The sequence below is a fragment of the Homo sapiens genome, chromosome 1 (genome assembly GCF_000001405.40).
Source record: "Homo sapiens chromosome 1, GRCh38.p14 Primary Assembly".
NCBI classification, from domain to species: domain Eukaryota; kingdom Metazoa; phylum Chordata; class Mammalia; order Primates; family Hominidae; genus Homo; species Homo sapiens.
The window spans coordinates 154,401,877-154,418,891 of record NC_000001.11 but is presented as its reverse complement, the minus strand read 5'-3'; the positions used below and the strand labels follow the sequence as shown (position 1 = coordinate 154,418,891).

General features: G+C 50.6%; 1 protein-coding gene, 1 long non-coding RNA gene and 1 pseudogene across 19 annotated transcripts in view, besides 4 other annotated features; 2 read left to right on the top strand and 1 right to left on the bottom strand.

The window, feature by feature from the left end:
- The window catches only part of IL6R (interleukin 6 receptor), a 64,108-nt gene extending 50,559 nt beyond the window's left edge, over nucleotides 1-13,549 (bottom strand). For 15 of the 18 annotated variants that reach the window (XM_017001199.2, NM_001382771.1, NM_001382773.1 and 12 more), the window contains exon 1: nucleotides 13,178-13,549. In XM_017001199.2, coding sequence (XP_016856688.1) covers nucleotides 13,178-13,262 — 85 coding nt within the window. In that variant the 5' untranslated portion in view covers nucleotides 13,263-13,549. Of the gene's footprint in view, nucleotides 1-459; nucleotides 786-13,177 lie in introns of those variants that run through there. The other 3 variants (XM_047419648.1, XM_047419649.1, XM_047419650.1) reach the window with 3 other exon arrangements.
- Nucleotides 166-679: an enhancer, noted in NCBI's record as "H3K4me1 hESC enhancer chr1:154390689-154391202 (GRCh37/hg19 assembly coordinates)". NCBI's record gives its function as "activates a minimal SCP1, AML or CMV promoter by ChIP-STARR-seq in primed H9 embryonic stem cells {active_cell/tissue: H9 hESC(primed)}" and the evidence as "EXISTENCE:reporter gene assay evidence [ECO:0000049][PMID:30033119]".
- Nucleotides 3,670-4,620, top strand: PSMD8P1 (proteasome 26S subunit, non-ATPase, 8 pseudogene 1; annotated as a pseudogene).
- IL6R-AS1 (IL6R antisense RNA 1) lies at nucleotides 12,328-16,571 on the top strand. Its single transcript, NR_147855.1, has 2 exons — nucleotides 12,328-12,453; nucleotides 14,935-16,571. It is a non-coding gene; the product is annotated as an IL6R antisense RNA 1 (long non-coding RNA).
- Nucleotides 12,419-13,025: an enhancer, noted in NCBI's record as "H3K27ac-H3K4me1 hESC enhancer chr1:154378343-154378949 (GRCh37/hg19 assembly coordinates)". NCBI's record gives its function as "activates a minimal SCP1, AML or CMV promoter by ChIP-STARR-seq in naive H9 embryonic stem cells {active_cell/tissue: H9 hESC(naive)}" and the evidence as "EXISTENCE:reporter gene assay evidence [ECO:0000049][PMID:30033119]".
- Nucleotides 13,265-13,414: a silencer, noted in NCBI's record as "silent region_1357". NCBI's record gives its function as "represses an Ori minimal core promoter by ATAC-STARR-seq in GM12878 lymphoblastoid cells {active_cell/tissue: GM12878}" and the evidence as "EXISTENCE:reporter gene assay evidence [ECO:0000049][PMID:35858748]".
- Nucleotides 13,615-13,744: a silencer, noted in NCBI's record as "silent region_1356". NCBI's record gives its function as "represses an Ori minimal core promoter by ATAC-STARR-seq in GM12878 lymphoblastoid cells {active_cell/tissue: GM12878}" and the evidence as "EXISTENCE:reporter gene assay evidence [ECO:0000049][PMID:35858748]".

The window sequence follows — 17,015 nt, the reverse complement described above, 5'->3', positions numbered from 1 at the left end:
AGGGGGGGTCAGCGCCATCACTGCAGCTGCCAACCTAATGGGGCACTGGGGACTCTCAGGAGCCAGGAGTCGTGCCCTTGGCCTTTCTCTCCCTTCCCCCACAGCCGCAGCGTGTATAGGATGAGTTAGAGCCTAAAACTGCCTCCCCTTGGACTCCAAATCTCGCGTCCTCCCCAAGTCACCCCACCATCTGGGCCCATTCATTTCTCCTTAACATTTCAGAGGGCACCCTCGGCCACTGTCCAGGAAGAGGCAAGGCCGCAGGCTACGGCAAGTCAAGGCTCCCAGGCTCTAATGGGAGGCCCAGCAACCTTCTCTGACTCAGCTCCCAGCCCCACCTGTCCGCAACCCCCTCTTCTCAGATGACTAGCTTTGGCTGGCAGGCCCCTGCTCCCTCCTCCCCCACATATGTATTTGTACTTCTTGTACCTGCTTGTATTTGTCTGAGTCAGTATTTACCTTGGCCTTGCCTTCCTCCCATCCACACGATGGACTGTACACTGCTGGAGAGAGGGTCTGGGAGGGAGGCTCCTTTGGACCCATAAACAGGTAATGCTCAATGCTGACTCAGAGACCCACGTGCGCGTGTGACCAACTCAGGAGATAAAACATCTAATCCTCCTCTGGCAGCATCAGAGATAACCACCTGGCTCCAGTCCAAGAAGGTACAACCTGGGTCAACTCTCAGAGATTATAAACTAATTAGAGGAAAAGATATCTAAGGCCATGTGCGGCAGCTCACGCCTGTAATCTCAGCACTTTGGGAGGCTGAGGCTGGCGGATCACCTGAGATCAGGAGTTCAAGACCAGCCTAGCCAAAATGGTGAAACCCCATCCATACCAAAAAATACAAAAATTAGGCCGGGTGAAGTGGCTCACGCCTGTAATCCCAGCACTTTGGGAGACAGAGAAGGTCGGATCACAAGGTCAGGAGTTTGAGATCAGCTTGGCCAACATGGTGAAATCCTGTCTCTACTAAAAATACAAAAATTAGCCGGGTATGGTGGCGGGTGCCTGTAATCCCAGCTACTTGGGAGGCTGAGGCAGGAGAATCGCTTGAAACCGGAAGGTTGCAGTGAGCTGAGATCATGCCACTGCACTCCAGCCTGGGCAACAAGAGTGAAACTCCATCTCAAAAAAAAAAAAAAAAAAAAATTAGCTGGGCATAGTGGTGCATGCCTGTAATCCCAGCTACTCGGGAGGCTGAGGTAGGAGAATCACTTGAACCCCGGAGATGGAGTTTGCAGTGAGCCGAGATCGCACCACTGCACTCCACCCTGGGCAACCCTGTCTCAAAAAAAGAAAGGATATCTAAGGAGGGCAAACAATCCACTCCCTGGCCCAAACCTAACCCCAGGAGCAGATAGAGAAATAAAGAGATTAAAAGCAGGACGCAGCAGGGCCTTAGAAGAAAGCCATTGGTACCTGCAGATGGATACACCCAGTATTTTGGTCCTGAAAGGGACAGTGAGGAGAAGCTACAGCCAGTGTGTAGGGTGCTGAGATAAGGAGCGCTGTTTTAAGGCTATACAGGACTCTTAAGGACGACTCAGGCCAACCTGCTCATTTTGGTGGATGAGGAGAACCAGGGCCCAGAAGTCACACAGCAGTGCATGGTGTCAGGACCGGAGCTGGGCTCTGGGACTCTCGGTCCAGGCTTAACACGCAGCCCTCTGCCTTCCCAGAAGCATGGCCTAGGGGTCTTGTCTTCTATCTCTGAGCACAGTCTCAGAGTATAACAAAGAGGCTGGCCCTCAGTCAGATTTTTTTTATGTGCTTCTGGAAGGTGGCAGGAGGGCAGGGAGAGGGAGGGACCTGATGTACGCACCCCCATTCCATATCTACAGACCCCCCAGCTTCCCCTCCCTGACCCCCTTAGCTATGAGGCAGCAAAGCTGAAGATTTAAGAAGTCACGTGGAGGTGTGGATGGAGCAGCTGGGAGGGATAAGGGGAGGTTTGAGGGGTGTGCATAGGGGGATTTCAGGGCTCCCCTGAGGATGCTTCTGTTCAGTTCTTATTCTGAATGGTGGTTCCATGCATGTGTTCAGTTTGTAAAAACCCACCCAGTGTGAGGCCTATGCTGACCACACTCTTTCGTAGGTGTGTCACTCTGCCATAACACTTTTTCATACAGGCCCCAAAGTCCCCACTCTTGCATTCCAATCACTGCTGAGCCATCCCCACCCCCTCCGCTCCCCCATGTGCCATGAGCTTGGGTAGACACATGCACGCACACACTGGTCCAGCTCACTCCACATCACCATCAAGGAAGCAGTTCCAGTGGAAGTGTCCTGGGCACATCTCCCCTCAGTGAGACCTGAATGTCGGGCTCTCCTGCCCCAGCTCCTCCTCCCTCATCATAAGCCCCATCAGGCCTACCAAGAGATAGGAAGACTCGGCATTAAAAATACATCAGTGTTCCCTAATTAATCTCTAAAGTTTACTTGGCCAGGTGCAGTGGCTCATGCCTGTAATGCCAACACTTTGGGAGGCTGAGGCGGGAGGATCTCTTGAGACCAGGAGCTCAAGACCAGCCTAGGCAACATAGCAAAACTCCATCTCTACAAAAAAAAAAAAAAAAATTTTTTTTTAAATTAGCCAGTCATGGTGTCATGCACCTGTGGTCCTGGCTACTCAGAAAGCCAAGGCAAGAGGATTGCGTGAGTCCAGGAGTTCAAGGTTGCAGTGAGCTATGATCAAGACACTGCACTCCAGCCTTGGCAACAGAGTGAGACCCTTCCTCTAAAAAAATAGGAAGGAAAAAATAAAACTACATAATTAAAACAGTGCGATACTGGCACATGAATAGGGAGACCAAATTATGGAAGAGACTAGAAAGTTCAGAACTAATAAAAATAAAAAATAGTTTAGTCTGCACTACTGATCTGTATACTTTAAAATGGTTATTTTATTTTATTTTTTTTTGAGATGGAGTCTTACTCTTGTCGCCCAGGCTGGAGTGCAGTGGCACAATCGTGGCTCACTGCAACCTCTGCCTCCCCTCTTGCCTCAGCCTCCGGAGTAGCTGGGATTACAGGTGCCTGTCACCACAGCTGGCTACTTTTTGTATTTTTAGTAGAGATGGGGTTTCACCATGTTGGTCATGCTGGTTTCAAACTCCTGACCTCAAATGATCCACCTGCCTCGGCCTCCCAAAGTGCTGGGATTACAGGTGTGAGCCACTGCACCCGGCTGATACATTTTATATTATGTGTTTTTACCACATTAAAAAAATAACTTAGTCTAAGTGCTTGCTACACATACAGGCAGTTTCTAAGTGTGCTACATAGATTAACTAACTTGATCTTCTCAATAGTCTATTTGACAGAAGAAGAGACTGAGGTTATATAGCTAATTAGGGGTGACCTGCATTCAAGTCCAGACAATTGGGCCTCAGAATTTGTGCTTTTAACTACTCGCTATGCCAAGAGGCGTATAAACCCAAGTATACAGGAATTTGGTAGATTTAAAATGTAACTTTGAAAATTGGTGGGGGAAAGATGAATTCAATAAACTGTAAAGAGATGTCAGGTGACAACTGGAAAGAAAAAGCTGGAGTCAGACTTCATACCTCATCCATAATATTAATAAATTCAAAATGGATCAAATATTTAAACTTTTAAAACTTTTAACAATACCAGAAAAGGAGAATCTTTTAAAATATTGGAATGGGGGTGGAGGTGAACAGTGCAGCCGGCGCCTTGAGCTCCGGGCCCCTGGCGACCTAGGGCCCTGTCCTGCAGGCTGAGGACGGCAAGTACAAGCAACTCAAGGGCGAGTGGAACCGTAAAAGCCCCAATCTTAGCAAGTGCAGGGAAGAGCTGGGCTGCCTCAAGCTAGTTCTTCTGGAGCTCAACTTCTTGCCAACCACAGGGACCAAGCTGACCAAACAGCAGCTCATTCTGGCCCGTGACATACTGAAGATCGGGGCCAGTGGAGCATCCTATGCGAGGACATCCCCTCCTTCCAGCGCCACATGACCCAGCTCAAATGCTGCTACTTTGATTACAAGGAACAGCTTCCCCAGTCAGCCTACATGCACCAGCTCTTGGGCCTCAATCTCCTCTTCCTGCTGTCCCAGAAGCGGGTGGCTGAGTTCCACATGGAGCTGGAGTGGCTGCCTGCCAAGGACATCCAGACCAATGTCTACACCAAAAACCCTGTGTCCCTGGAGCAATACCTAATGGAGGGCAGCTACAACAAAGTGTTCCTGGCCAAGGGTAACATCCTCGCCAAGAGCTACACCGTCTTCATCGACATCCTGCTTGACACTATCAGGGATGAGATGGCCGGGTGCATCAAGAAAGCCTATGAGAAAATCCCTTTTACCGAGGCCACCAGATCCTCTTCTTCAACACACCCAAAAAGATGACCGACTACACCAAGAAGTGAGGGTGGGTCCCGGGCCCCAACAACTAATATAGTTTTGCCGGCCAGCAGCAGGAGCCAGAAGACACTACCATTCCCTCCACAGAACTGGCCAAACAGGTCACCGAGTATGCCCGGCAGCTGGAGATGATCTTCTGAGCCCACCAGGCACAGGGTGGGGCAGGGCACACATTATTTAAAACAGTTACAGTGCAAGGTTTCCTCCAATAAAGGTGGATTGACATTCTCTCAAAAAATAAATAAAAATAAAATATTGGAATGGGAAGGATGTTATTAAGTATGACACAAAACCTAGAAGCTATAAAAGAGACTGGTAAATTCAACTAGTTGGAAAAAAAAATTTGCAGCCAGGCGCAGTGGCTCACACCTGTAATCCCAGCACTTTGGGAGGCCAAGGAGGGAGGATCGCTTGAACCCAGAGTTTGAGACCAGTCTGAGCAACATGGCAAAATCCCGTCTCTACAAAAAATACAAAGGCTAGTCAAGTGTGGTGGTGTGCACCTGTAAAAGCCCCAATCTTTTGAGTCTGAGCCTCATACTCAGAAGTCTGAGACAGGAGGATCGCTTGAGTCCCAGGAAATTGAGGCTGCAGTGAGCCATGAGCATGTCACTGCACTCCAGCCTGGGTGACACCGTGAGACCCTGAGAAAGAAAGAGAGAGAGAGAGAGAGATGGAAAAAAAGAAATTTCTTGGCAAAAACCACCCCCACCACCAAAAAAAAAAAAAAAAAAGTCATGTATGACATGTTAATATGTCAAGAGCTCCTGTAAACAATAAGATTAATGACCCAATCAAAATAAAATTAGCATTGAATATGAACAGGCAGGTCATAGTAGATTATGCAAATGTCAGTTATACATTAAAAAACCCATACAATCTTATTCAGATAAGATAAATGCAAATTAATTCCACACAGACGCCATTGTCTGTGTAGATACCAGGTTAATAGTACACTTTTGGCAAGGGCATAGGGACACAAGCATTCTCACAATGCTGCTGGAAGTATAAATTGGTGCAACTTCTATTCTGTCTCACGATGACAAATCTCATGGCCTTTGCCCATCAATTCCCCTTCGGGGAATATATCCTGCAGGTGTACTTGCACTCACACAACAAGAGGCATATGCAAAGTTATTCCCCACAGCAGGGGCCGTAAGAGCAAGAAGGGAACAACTAAACATCCATCAAAAGGTAACCGGGTGGCCGGACACAGTGGCCCATGCCTGTAATCCCAGCACTTTGGGAGGCCAAGGTGGGTGGATCACGAGGTCAGGAGTTTGAGACCAGCCTGGCCAACATGGTGAAACCCCATCTCTACTAAAAATACAAAAATTAGCCTGGCTTGGTGGTGCATGCCTGTAATCCCAGCTACTCGGGAGGCTGAGGCAGGAGAATTGCTTGAACCCGGGAGGCAGAGGTTGCAGTGAGCCAACATCGTGCCACTGCACTCAAGTCTGAGCGACAGAGCAAGACTCTGTCTCAAAAAAAAAAAGGGGGGGAACCAGATAAATAAACTCAGTACATCCATATAATGAAATACAAAAAAAAAAAAAAAGAGGAAGTTCTTTGTTTAAATTTCCTAGTCCACAGGAGCAGGGGTCTACAGGTCAAGCCCAGGATTCAGATATACCCAAGTTCCAACCCTATCTCAGTCACTCACTAGCTGTGTGACTTTGGGCTTGTTTCTCAACCTCTCTAGGCCTCACTTTTCTCATCCATAAAATAGAAATAATAACCATAGGTACTTCAAATGTTGTCAGGATTACATTAGATAATTAATGCAAAAACCTCAGCACTATTTTCAGAACATACCTAATCTTTCAAAAAAAATGTTAAGCGATTTTAATTATTATCCCCACTGCATTAGTGCCTCTCTCTCCTTTTCTGGGAGAAAGTCCTCACATTATAGCATCCCCCTCCTCCCATCAAAATAGGCTTTTAAAGGCCGGGCGCGGTAGCTCACGTCTGTAATCCCAGCACTTTGGGAGGCCAAGGTGGGTGGATCACCTGAGGTCAGGAGTTCGAGACCAGCCTGGCCAACATGGTGAAACCCCGTCTCTACTAAAAATACAAAAAAATTAGCCGGGTGTGGTGGCAGGCACCAGTAATCCCAGCTGAGGCCAGGAGGCTGAGGCAGGAGAATTGCTTGAACCTGGGAGGCAGAGGTTGCAGTGAGCTGAGATTGTGCCACTGCACTCCAGCCTGGGCAACACAGTGAGACTCTGTCTCAAAACAAAAACAAAAAAAAAAGGCTCACCGGGCACGGTGGCTCACACCTGTAATCCCAGCACTTTGAGAGGACGAGGTGGGCAGATCACAAGGTCAGGAGATCAAGACTCTCCTGGCTGACACAGTGAAACCCCGTCTCTACTAAAAATACAAAAAATTAGCCAGGCGTCGTGGCGGATGCCTGTAGTCCCAGCTACTCGGGAGGCTGAGGCAGGAGAACTGCGTGAACCTGGGAGGCGGATGTTGCAGTGAGCTGAGATCGCGCCACTGCACTCCAGCCTGGGCGACAGAGCAAGACTCCATCTCAAAAAAAAAAAAAAAAAAGGCTCTTAGGATCAATAACATTTATCAAGCATGCATTTTTGTCTGTTACAGTATTTTATACTTTTGTTGTTGTTGTTGTTGAGACAGGGTCTTGCTTTGTCACCCAGGTTGGAGTGCAGTGTTGCTGTCACGGTTCACTGCAGCCTCGAACTCCTGGGCTCAAGTGATCCTCCTGCCTTGGCCTCCTAAAGCACTGGGATGACAGACATGATACACCACATCCGGCCTCAAAAAGTATTTTATACTTTAAAGCTTGTAGTGACTTGCCCAAAGGTCCCCTAGCTGGTGAAGCAGTTAATGGGGAGACAGGCCTGGACTGCCTGCCCTCAAAGCTGTTTTCTCTCTGCTACCTCAGCGGCCTCTCTCAGAGACAGAGGAAATTCATTTATAGTGATGTGGATTGCAAAACATTCCACTGACCAAAGGCATATGAATAGATGTGGGGGACCTCAGCCACTCTCAGGGCTTGAAATAATATCTGCCAGCACACGACTCCCACATTTACATCTCAAGCTCAGTCCTCATTCCCAAATTCCTGACTCCCATATCCAACTCCTTATCAGCATCTTCTCTTGATTGTCTCGTTGCGGCCAGGCGCGGTGGCTCATGCCTGCAATCCTATAGCACTTTGGGAGGCCGAGGCAGGCAGATCACTTGAGGTCAGGAGTTCGAGACCAGACTGGCAACCTGGTGAAACCCCATCTCTACTAAAAATACAAAAATTAGCCAGGTGTGGTGGTGTGCACCCGTAATGCCAGCTACTCTGGAGGCAGAGGCAGGAGAATCGCTTGAACCCGGGAGGCAGAGGTTGCAGTGAGCCAAGATTGCACCACTGCACTCCAGCCTGGGAGACAGAGACTCTGTCTCAAAACAAAAACGAAAACAAAAGACATTTGTTTCCATATGTGCAAAACTGGCCTCTCATCTTGTCCTACAGCCCACCATCTATGCAATGGGGCCAGCACTTCTCTCACCTGAGGCTGTTTTGAAGATTACATGAGATCACAGATGCCAAGGGCCTAGCACAGCTACTTGCACACAGTTGACACACCATAAATGGTAACAGTTATTGTAACCATCATATAGAGAGGGAAGACCAAAGGATGCTTTTCGGGAAAGCGGTTGGGAAGTGGAGTGGGAACTGATTCAGAGAACAGGTGCTGGGGAGAATAGGCTGGATGCAGGGCCTCAGGGACATACTCCTAAGAGTAGAAAGCACCCGACAGAGCTGGCAAGGGATGAGCAGGAGTGGGGGAGGCTGCTGAGGTCCAGCTAACGTCAAGCCTGAACCCAGTGGCAGAAAAGCCTCTGCCTTTGCCAGGGACTTTTGACCTCTTCAGATCCCAGGCAAGAGGAGAGGGTAAAGAACACAGATTAACTACACAAAAAAACCTCCCAGCTGGACACAAAGGCTCACGCCTGTAATCCCAGCACTTTGGGAGGCCAAGGCGGGTGAACTGCTTGAGCCTAGGTGTTCCAGAGCAGCCTGCAACATGGCGAAATCCTGTCTCTACAAGAAATACAAAAAATTAGCCAGATGTGGTGGTGCACGCCTGTAGTCCCAGCTATTCCGGAAGCTGAGGTGGGAGGATCACCTGAGACCAGGAAGTCGAGGCTGCAGTGAGCAGTGATTGTGCCACTGCACTCCAACCTGGGCTACGGGAGTAAGATCCTGTATTTAAAAAAAAAAAAAAGGCCTTTTCTTTGTCACCTTCCCCTTGCCACTCCAGCCCTCAAGGATCCCACCTGCAGACTTGCAGTTATGACCTGGCATTTAGCACTTCCCTCTGCTAGACTTCAAGGAGCTAAAGGGCTGAGGACTTGTTACCCCAGAGATACTTCTCCAGGGCAGGGAGCATCCATGTGTCCCCACAGAGCCCTCTGCTCCAGAACATAACACACCCTCAGGTAGTACACATTGTTAAAGAGGAGGCAAGAATTTTCCTGCCCAAGATGGACATATAGGGAATCTCTAGAGATTTGTATATTTTCTTCAGGTCTTCACTCAAATATTATGTTCTCAGCAAGGCATTCCCTGGCCTCCCATCCAAGGCACCATGCCACCCCACCCTGCCACAAACACACATGGGGTCTGTCTCCCTCTCGGCTTTAGTTTTTCTCCTTAGCACTAGTCGCTAGCATACCACATACTTAATTTACATCCTGTTAATAGTCTCCCACACTAGAATGAAACTCAACTAAGCCTGGGGTTTTTGTCTCTTTTATTCATGGTGTATCTCCAGCTCTTAGAATAGTGCCTGGAACAGAGTAGGAGGTGTTCACTCCAAAAATATATTTTTGGAGTGAATGAATGATCACCTACACTTATTTAAGCACTTGCTGTGTGTTAGGGACTTCTGTAAACACTCTATTTAATACCTTACTTAGCTCATCTCATCTTCATAACCACCCTTCGAGGTAATACAATTATTTCTATTTTCTAGAACACTGGCTGTCAAAGAAGTTAAATCACTTGCCCAAGGTGTTATCATTTTTACTTGGCAGTGCAGGGCAGAGATGTGCCTGGCTTGAAGACCTTAGCCATCACCTATGCAAAATGAGCTGTGTTCAGGTGGAGGAGAGCAGAAGGCAGAGGGGGATAAAGGAAAAGAGAACAGAAAACCTCTGGAAGAAACTGGTTAACACTCTAGCCCAGCACCGTCCAGTAGGGCTTTCCACGATGATGGAAGAGATCTGTATCTGCACTGTTCAGTACAGTAGCCACTAGCAATGTGAGTGTTGAGCACTTAAAATGTGACTAGTGCAACTAAGAAACTAAGTTTTTATTTGATTTCATTTAAATTAATTTTTTGGAGACAGGGTCTCCTGTCGCCCAGACTGGAATTCGGTAGTGCAAACATGGCTCCATGCAGACTGGACTCAAGTGATTCTCCCACCTCAGCCTTCTCAGTAGCAGGGACTACAGGCTCATGTCACTGTGCCCAGCTAATTTTTTAAATCTTTTTGTAGAGACGGCATCTCACCCTGTTGCCCAGGCTGGTCTCCAACTCCTGAGCTCAAGAGATCCTCCTGCCTCAGCCTCCCAAAGTACTGGGATTACAGGCGTGAGTCACTGCGCTGGCATAATTTAAATTTAAATAGGTACACGTGGCTAGTGGCTACCGTATTACAGAGCACAGCTTCAATCCAGACTAGATTCATTGACTGGAAACTCTTTTGCTTGCTGGGTCTGTGGCTTCCAGGCCTGGTGGGACCAGGATTCAGGAGACGGGGGAAGGGAGTGTATATTTTCAGCAGTCAGCACCTAGGTTACTTTGTGTAATCTACAAATACCCAGTGAGGGGAGTATTTGTTTACCCTGGCTGCTGAGGGCTGGAGATGAGGGTCAGGGTCAGGATCAGTGTGCCTGCTGCCTTGGGATCTTGGTCCTCAGTCAGAGGAACTTCCTCTCTCTAACCACCCCCTACCCCAAGCCAGACAATCTGTTCACGGGTAGTTGGTACCCAGTGGCCCGGTCAGAGTCTGGGGTTTCTCAGCCCTTCTCAGGATTTACCCATGACCATTTTCAGGCTCCTTTTAGGGTGGAGTCTGCATAGCTGATCCTACACAGGCCTCACAGGCTCTACACCGACTCAAGAAATGTTTGCTGCAATGAATAAACAAGCAGCAAGCCAAAGCAAGGAGAGATTTCTGGCAACAGAGAGCCCGAAGCGGGAGGGCCTTCATTCAGTTCCTCAATGACACCATTTAGGCAGCCGTCCTCAAACCTGACAGTGCCTAAGAATCACAAGGGGCAGTTTGTTTAAAAGGACATGCCCCAGGCCTCACTCCTAGGTGTTCTTATTTAATAAATCTGGGTTAGGGTTCAAAAATCATCATGTTTACCAAAGCCCTCCCACCCAGCACACACACCAGATCTGATGCTAGGCTCAGAACTAAGCTTTTGAGAAATACTGATTTAGGGTGAGGCTAGGCACGTGTGTGGGTAATGGGGGCAGGAAGAGGTGCCCTAGAAGGAAATTCAGAAGCTGAGATAGCTCTTTGAGATACTTAAAGGTATACATACTTCTTTTGTGTATTTTCTTGCATTGCAGTAGGAAGAGGGAACTTGAGTCACCCAAGTCCAGCCTTCCAGCACCAGAGTGTTGGAACCGGCAGAAGCCTAAGTCCCAGCTAGTCCAGGCCCTTAGACAACGAGTACACCTGAGAAGTCCTGGCAGCTCCAGGGTGTGTGGGCGGCAGCTGATCCCGAGGAAAACAAACCTCTGGGCTCTAAGAGCCCCGCAGGCTGTACCTGCGGATTTCCCCTCTCAGCCAACTCCAGCCTCTGCTCCCCCTCTGCTCCTCACTTCTCTAAAGCGAAACATCTCACAGTCATTTGCTCCATGCTTCCTGTACGATTTCTTTATTTTTACTCTCCAGTTTGTGGGCTGAGTCTGTGTGGGTGTGGGAGAGGGGCTGGGTATTTCTACTTCTCTGCATTTTCCTTCTGAGCTGGGAGGACTTTCACTTCCTCCCCAGTCTCTCAGTTCTGCCTTTCATGGGCTGTTCAGGCCATGAGACCACCTCTCCTAATCCTTCCTGAGCACCAGGGAAATGGAAAACTGACTGTAACTGGCTGCCCTGGAAGGGCCTAGCATCCACTCAGGAGCAACAGGTGGTGGCAACTACAGCAGTAACAGTAACCTCCCTGGGGCAGGAGCCTTGGGCTGGCGTGACAGCAGCAGAGGCAGCCAAGGGAGCCCTGCTTGCTCCTGAGGCCATCCGAGCCCTGGAACCTGTCTTGCATCCCTCTAACACCACCATGGGCAAGCCTGGGCCTCCACTTCCCTCCCTCAGCCTTTTCTGTCCCAGCACTCAGCCAGACAAGAGTGACTCTCAGCTTGCCCCAATGCCCCCAGCTCTGCCTGCTGATCTAGTTCTATATTTGAGAGTCTTAGACATCTACCACACTGGAGCACAGAGCCACGGGAGGGGTTGGCCTCCATCACCGGGGCCTGACAACCTGCCATCCCGCCATCCCAACCTCCCTGAACCTCAGTCTCCTCTTTCAAACAAAGTTATATGTAGATACAGTGGAGGATTAGAAAACATTGAATGGGTGCCCCAATCAACAGTGTCTGTTACTGGCAGGAGTTATAAATGTGTATTGAAAATGGAATCCCTTCTTTTTTTCTTCCAATCATAAGGACCACAACCATCCAAAAAGCAAAGAGAGCCTCAGACACTCCAGCTCAGCCTCTAGTTGCAGAAAGTCACCTCCTCAAAGGGAGAGATCAGTGTTCACCTAGGACTGGAATTCAGTGTGATCTAGTGGTTGAAAGTCTTAGCCTTCAGCCTCCCCAGCCTGTCAGCTGTTCCAGAAGCCTGTCAGCTGCCCCTTAGTTTTCTGCTGTGTCCTCAAAGAAGCACTGGGACCCTAAAATAAACCTCTGGAGAGCCAGTTGCCCAACTCTTCCAGAAGAGAGACTAGACACGCAGCTGGGCATGCGGCCAGAGCCCAAGAAAAGCCTGGTTTGCCAGGGGCAGATTACAGTCAACGGGAGCAGTAAGTGCCTCTGCCCTCTCCCTCACGGGTCCTTCTCTTTTCTAGAGGGGAGTCCAGCACGTGCCAGCCCCAGGAGGTCTCACTCCCTTGCCAGCCTCCCGACTCAATTCCCAGGACTGGGGCACTTGGCTTCCCAGAGTTGGTGGCTGCCAAAGTGACTCCGTGCAGCGGGAAGATCCGTGACTCAGCGCCCGTGATGTCAGTCCCTTCATAGTCAGGGCACTGTCATCCACACATGCACCCGCGGGGGTGGGGGGAGGACCAGGCGAGGTGGACCCCCAATGCAGAGGGAGAAGAGGGGCGCTGGTACAAAGGACTCCCCAGGCGGGTACATCACCCCGCTGGGGCGCGCCCTCTCGGGCAGTCTCCCCTTAGAGTAACCTGGGACGCGGTTGTGTAAAGGCTCCTGGGGGCACTGGGAAGGAAGCTCGAGAGTCAGGTTTGCAAGGACACAGTCCTGTACACAGACCGCAGGGTTCCCGCACAGCTTCACCGGGCATTCCGGGGAGCGCTCCGGACCAAGGGAGCAAGCGCAGCAGGGGGCGCAAGAGCCACTACCCGCGACCACACAGCTAGGTACCCGCGGGGCCTCAAGGCAGCCACAGAAAAGGGGATCCGTCGCACCTCCTTTCCTCCCTCCAGCCTCCCACAGACTGCGGTGACCAAGGCGGTTTCCCCCAGCCGCTAGCTGCCCCAGCCCTCCAGGTGCGCCCGAAGCCCTTACCCTGCGCAGGGCAGCGCCTTGGGGCCAGCGCCGCTCCCGGCGCGGCCAGCAGGGCAGCCAGCAGCGCGCAGCCGACGGCCAGCATGCTTCCTCCTCGGCTACCACTCCATGGTCCCGCAGAGGCGGACAGGCTAATGGGAACCGGGCGGCAGGGGTGGCAGGGGCGGGGCGGGGCGGTGGGCGGGCAGGCGGGCTCAGGCCCCGGGGGCAGCCCCCATCCGCAGGAGCCCGGCTCTCTACACACACTGCGAGTCCCTCGGCCCCGCGCCGCGCTCGGCTCCTCTCCCTCTGGCCCGGCTCAGTGTCAGTGCGACTTCCCACTCGCACATGACTCAGAGCGGCGGACGGTCCTGGCAACGCAGGAAAACATTTGAGGAACTCGCGCTGGAGCGTCTCTGGGCCGTCCCAGGGTGCGGTTACGAAAGCCGGAGCGGATGGCGCAACAGCCCCGCGCACCGGCCGACCGAGGGGGTGGCTTCCTGCCACAGCGCCGCACCTGAGCGGGGAGAACAGGGGACCGCCAGCCCCACCAGAGCCCTTCCTCCCGGTTCTGTTGATGAGAAAAGGGCGTATCAGCCACCAGTGGGCAGTGGCCTAGTTTTGATTTTTGGTTTCGTGAACGGGATTACGCTGTGAAAGGCACACCTGGAGAGCCCTCGAGGAGGCGATGTTCCTCTTACCCTTAGGGTAAAACAGTGCTTGGTAGCCCGGTTGCCCACTGGAATCAGCCAGGAGCCCTAAAACCCACCAATGTCTGGGTCGGGTCTCCAGAGATTCTGATTTCATCGGTCTGGGGTGAGGCTTGGGCATCGGAAGACTCACCACCGTAAAGGCACAGTCTTTCTGCCCAGCTGCTCCTCGCAGGCTGCAGCAGAGGCAAGGAAACGGTTTGGACTTTGCAGTCAGATAGACCTGGGTCCCCATTTAGACCTACCATCTACTGTGTCTGTGACTTCGGTTCAGAATCTGAGTCTCCATTTCCTCATCTGTCAGAGATAAGAAAGCCTATGCTGCCCAGGGTTATTAGGAAGGTTCTGTGGATGGCACCTAAACACCTGACACACGGTCTGGGCCACACGTGCTCAGTAGACATCAGAACGTTCATGGCTGCCCTCCTGACTTGACAGACAGACACTAACACCAGGGGCAGTGGCTCACGCCTGTAACCCCAACACTTTGGGAGAGCCGGGTGGGTGGATTGCTTCAGTCCAGGAATTCTAGACCAGCCTGTGTAACAAAGTGAGACCCCCATTTCTATAAAAAAATTTAAAAATTAGCTGGGTGTGGTGGTACACACCTATAGTCCCAGCTACTAGGGAAGCTGAGGTGGGAAAATTGCTTGAGTCCGGGAGATCCAGGGTACAGTGAGCCGTGATTGGGGGCTGCTACTCCAGCCTGGATGACAGTGAGACCCTGTCTGGAAAGAAAAAAAAAAAAAGAAAAGAAAGAAAGAAAAGGAAGGGAGGAGGGAGGGAGGGAGGGAAGGAGGGATAGAGGGGAAGGAAGGAAAGGAAGGAGAGAAAAAAAGAAAGAAACAAGCACCTGGCTTTTGAGCAACCACAAGGACCTTGAAGGGGACCATCTGTCCGTCCCTTGGAGGGGAACTCTCTCAAGGACCCCCACAGAGCCTAAAGCTGATAGGATGGCCTCATAGCTGAATCTGGAGGGAAAGAAAAATGCTGAAATAAAGTTTAGGCTGAGAAGCTTCTAGACCAGCAACTGCTCATTAGAATGTGTTTTTCTACCTTTGGTTTCAGGCCAATCCTAACCCAGATCAAAGATCCTGGGACAGCTGGAACAGGCATGGCCTAATGGAACTCCCAAGTGGACAGGGCCAGGCATGGACGGACAGAGCTTCTGAAACAGTCCTCAGACCCCGTGCATCTGGATCTTTCTGTAGGAACCACCCATCAGCAGTGCCAGACAGAACCAAGCACATGCACTGATCCACCGCACGATGGGAGCTGGTGTGGGTGAGCTTGTTTGCTTTAGCCATGCCCACAGACAGGAACAGAAGAGCACAGTGGAGGCCACCAGCCCTCTCGCCTGCTATTTCAAAAGGGGTTGCAGCAGGGCTGGAAAGCGGTTCCCACTGTGGTTGCCCCCTTCCTCTCTGTGGCACACACAGACCTGAAAATAACCAGAGAGGGACTGTGAGCTGCCAGCCTAAAACAGGAAGGCTGCAGAAAGTCCTAGGCTCAGATAGGAGAGTTTAAAAGAATGTTGAAACCAAGAACGGGCATCACAGATCCCACCTGTCTCTGCACCAAAGCAGACCTCCCCCTCTCTAATCTACTGGTGGGGAGCCTGTGTGCTCTGTAGTCATGCAGATCCCAGCTTTACCACTTGCTGGCTGTGTGACTTAAGCAAGCTATTTAACTTCTCTGAACCCCTATTTCCTGATTTGTAAGATAAGCGCAGCAATATACAAAGTTTTAGTGTTGTGGTTCACATGAAAAAATTTAATCCTGGCCAGGCCGGACGTGGTGCCTCACACCTGTAATTCCAGCACTTTGGGAGGCCAAGGTGGGCAGATCATGAGGTCAGGAGTTCGAGACCAGCCTGACCAACATGGTAAAACCACATCTCTACTAAAAATACAAAAATTAGCCGGGCATGGTGGTGCGTACCGGTAGTCCCAGCTACTCAGGAGGCTGAGGCAGGAGAATCACTTGAACCCAGGAGGCGGAGGTTGCAGTGAACCGAGATGGCACCACTGCACTCCAGCCTGGGCAAGAAGAACGAAACTCCCTCTCAAAAAAAAGAAAAGAAAAAGAAAAAAGAAAGAGAAGAAAGCATACCTGCACAATTCAGCCTGACCTGCCCTCACCCAGACAACAGAAGGAACAATGAAGACTTTAGTTGTCTGAGCCAGAACACTTCTCAGATAACTGTGCTGCTTACAAATTGCTTTACATACACAATCTCCTCTGAAATTCTCAACCCTGAATGCTGGGAGACATTGCCCCCAATTTTCAGATGAGTAGACTGAGGCTAACAGAGGTAAAGTGGCTTGTTCAAAACTGCACTACTAGTAACTGGCAGCTCCAGGGTGAGGTCTGGCTCCTGGCCCAGGACTCTCACTGAGCAAGGGCTCGGTCGGCCCACCCAGGACCAAAGACACTGCAGACCATGGCAGCAGGCACTTGGTGTTCTGTAGTCTGTGAGGGGAGAGCAGAGAGCAGAACCTGGTGTGTGGGACACCCTCTCCTTCACCGGTGTTCCTGCAGGGACCCTCCGTCTCCTGTAAAGGGGGAAGCCCTAGGCTGACTCCCAGCAAGCAAGTCCTCTCTCACCTTTCACCTGAAGCGATGAAGCATCTTAAAGTTTGCCTAAAGCAGAAGTCTACAGGAGACCCACAGAATAAATATGTAAGGTTATTTTGAAACCAAAAGGGACTTGGTCATCATTGCTTCTCCTCCCTCACTTTTTAGATAAGGAGCTAGGCCTCAAGAAGAGAAGTTGCTTGGTAAAGATGGCACAGGCAGTGGTGACAGAGCTGGTCAAGATCCCAGATACCCTGACTCAAAGTGGTCTTTTTAAATTCCCACCCTGCCCCCAACCTCCAGGTCTGGGCTGATGTGTTGGGGCCATTCTCAACTGTGAGAGTTTAAAACTATGCACTTTATTCTCTATTCACCATGTGAATCCATCTTTAGGGACAACGATTATTCTGAGAAGTGCAGTGGGGTAGGGCTGAACTGACCTGCAGACCCCTCCCTGGCCTCTGGCCCTGGAGCCAGCCCCTGGTTAATCAATAATTACAGGAAGGTGCTTCTTATTCTCTGAAACCTTCCCCTCCTGCTTTCTCATCAGCCTGGGAGGAGGTTACGTGGGC